We start from the raw sequence: 3,175 nt of genomic DNA, 5'->3' as shown, positions 1-3,175 counted from the left end.
TTTAAGAAGTGAAACGTTACAGCTCAGCTGAGGTCTCCTACTCCCTTCCCCTTCCCCTGAGGTCACCCCCATTCTACAACGTGCGTTCAGACATTTTAGCTGCATGTGTATCTGGCGTGGGCAGCAGATGCTCCTGATCTGGGTGTTTCAGGCATTAACAAAAAGTCAGGCCATGTACATGTCGGGCCATTATTCAGACTGAACTGTGCTGATGCTCGTGTGTGTGTCCAGAGCATGGGCTAAATGAGAGTTGCATGTTCTATTCTAAGAATGGAGACATAGCAGTGGCCTCTAGTTTGCTGAGGAGGAAACAGAGGCTCTGCGAGGCTGAGGACTGGCACATTCACGTGGCCAGTGTGCACCCAGGCTGAGCCTCAAAGCTGGGTCTGGCTGCAGACCCTGCCCCTTCTCCCTCTTGGGCTACAGGTGGTTCCCCTGAAAGGGAGGCTGCCCCACCCTCCGCCTTCTTACTGGGGGGGCTGCCCCACCCTCCGCCTTCTTACTGGGGGGGCTGCCCCGCCCTCCGCCTTCTTAACTGGGGAGGCTGCCCCACCCTCCGCCTTCTTACTGGGGAGGCTGCTCCACCCTCCGCCTTCTTAACTGGGGAGGCTGCCTCACCCTCCACCTTCTTATTGGGGATGTTGCCTGGCCCTCCACCTTCTTACTGGGGAGGCTGCCCCACCCTCTACCTTCTTACCAAGAGGCTGCCCCACCCTCTACCTTCTTACTGGGGATGCTGCCCGATCCTCCACCTTCTTACTGGGAGGCTGCCTTGCCATCCACTTTCTTGGCTGAGCCCAAGCTCCACCCAAAGCTTTCTGGGCCGCAGCGAGCCACCTGGGTCACTTGCTTGCCTGCTCCCCTCCTCCTATCACCCTTACCCTTGCTCTCCCCTGCCAGGCAGTCACCACTCCCTGAATGAGGCCCATGTGCTCCTGTGGCTGGGCCTCTGCCCAGGCTGTTCCTTCTGCTTGCCTGCCTGAGTCCCACCTGGGCATTAAGGCCTGGCTGAAATGCCCCTGCCAGGCCCATCACAAATGGTTAGGAACGGCTGTGTCGGTCACCTCACCCAGTCAGTCACCAGCTGAGAACCAGTTGCTCTCCCCAAGCACCTGGGCCAGGGCCCAAGGAATAGGTGCTGCCCAAAGCTGCCAGGAGGCTCTGATCTTTGGCAGGCATGGGAACCACACTGCTGAAACTCCCCGTGTGGTGCTGCAGGCTGCCCAGCCTGACAAGTGTCCTGCTGGAGTGACCACCTCTGGGGACCAGAGCTCAATTCTGCATGCAGAGAAGGGAGGCGGTGCTTGTCTTAAACCAGACACAGGCTGAATTGAGGCATCAGAGACACAAGCCCACGTGAGAGGTCAGCATCCCTCTGCATGTAGAGCCACCCAGGCGAGCTGCCAGCATGTCCCATGGCCACATGAGAAGCCTGCATTTCCGGCTCAGACCCACCTGACAAATTAAGAGATGTCTGGGGCTCTGGCTGCTCCGGAAGAGCCACCAATTAAGATGTCTCTTGTTTTGTGCCCCAGAACCTTGTCCCATTGCTGATCAGGTTACAGGAGTGACAGCTCAAAGATGTCGCCTCCAGGGACTTGAAGGGTGGGGTAAGAGGACAGATTGCCTCGGCACCTGGGGCTGTCTCTGGGGACAGGCCTGGGGCAGGCACTGTAATGTGAGGCTCCCACAGCCGTGGAATCCTCCAGCACCTGGTGTGGGTGGCGTGGGGCTCAGCAGGGCCTCCTTGCCTTCCTGCCGAGTTGGCTTCCTGCCATGGGCATTGCTCCCCAAGCATCGACTGCCCAGCAACTCTGCAGCCCAGAAGTCCATGCAGTTTTGTGTCAAGGGGCAGCTGGTCCACACCGTAGGGCTGTCATTCCATCCTCACCAGCAATCTGTGCTCCTACTGTGCATCCAGTCCTGTGCTGGACACGGGGACAGGGACAGTCCTAAGCAGAGACCAAGTTGACAACAAGCAGAGCTAGCCTGGGGAAGACCCGGTAGAAGAGCTTCTGAGTCCAGGGAACAGCAAGCCGGAGCCTCCGGGCAGACCTGGGTGGAAGAGCTTCTGAGCCTGGGAACTGCAAGCTGGAGCCTCTGGGCAGACCTGGGTGGAAGAGCTTCTGAGCCTGGGGAACAGCAAGCCAGAGCCTCTGGGCAGACCTGGTGGAAGAGCTTCTGAGCCTGGGAACTGCAAGCCGGAGCCTCTGGGCAGACCTGGTGGAAAAGCTTCTGAGCCTGGGAACTGCAAGCCGGAGCCTCGGGGCAGACCTGCTGGAAGAACTTCTGAGCCTGGGAACAGCAAGGCGGAGCCTCCAGGTAGACCTGGGTGGAAGAGCTTCTGAGCCTGGGGAACAGCAAGGCGGAGCCTCCAGGCAGACCTGGGTGGAAGAGCTTCTGAGCCTGGGGAACAGCAAGCTGGAGCCTCGGGGCAGACCTGGTGGAAGAACTTCCAAGCCTGGAGCTCTCCAGCGACCTTGACATGATCTTGATAAGAGCAGACTCAGTGGAGGGGCCACACTGGCACGCTGGCAAATGTTTAACAACTGGTTCTCTGGGAGAGAAAGCTGATTTCTAGTATTTGCTGATTTCTGAAGTGTATCCCACTGTGGCAGAGCATGACAGTTTACCAACTGGTTGGGAAATTTCCTGACAATTTAACAACTACTCTCGCAAGCCAGTGTAAGCCTGCTCCAGCAGCCTGTTGGGTAGGGCTGGTTCAAGAGAGAATGTGATGTGAAGGATACGTCACCTCTTTGAAGGGCTTCTAGTGCAAAAGGAGTCAGAAAATGAAATAATATCTTAGAGGAACATGGAGCCAGGTGAGTTTTTTTTAAAATTAATTCTGTTATAATTTACTGAAAGGGGGCCACAGGAGATATATTTAGATAATAGAACAGGAGAGAGGAAATGTAAGGTTTGTGATTTCATGTCTTCCAAAGAGATTCCCCCTCCACTCATCATCCTTAAACTCCTGTTGAAGGAGCACCAGTATGTGGCCAACTCTGGGGTGGGTGGGGAAGGATAGGATCCAGCATGACCCTGCCTTCAAAGAGCTCACACTGCTAAGCAAGGATGGCTGGACAGGGACAGAAGATAGCAATGATGGATGCAGCATACAATTCTGGCCACTGAGAAATTCTAAGCTGTACTACACATAACACTGCATTCC

The 3,175-nt window shown here is 56.1% G+C and overlaps 1 annotated feature.

Annotated features, from left to right (window-relative positions):
- Positions 1,451 to 2,237: an enhancer, noted in NCBI's record as "H3K4me1 hESC enhancer chr4:8819142-8819928 (GRCh37/hg19 assembly coordinates)". NCBI's record gives its function as "activates a minimal SCP1, AML or CMV promoter by ChIP-STARR-seq in naive H9 embryonic stem cells {active_cell/tissue: H9 hESC(naive)}" and the evidence as "EXISTENCE:reporter gene assay evidence [ECO:0000049][PMID:30033119]".

The sequence above is a fragment of the Homo sapiens genome, chromosome 4 (assembly GCF_000001405.40).
Source record: "Homo sapiens chromosome 4, GRCh38.p14 Primary Assembly".
Taxonomy (NCBI): domain Eukaryota; kingdom Metazoa; phylum Chordata; class Mammalia; order Primates; family Hominidae; genus Homo; species Homo sapiens.
Note: the sequence above shows the minus strand (reverse complement) of the source record. Positions and strands in the feature narration are given on the sequence as shown.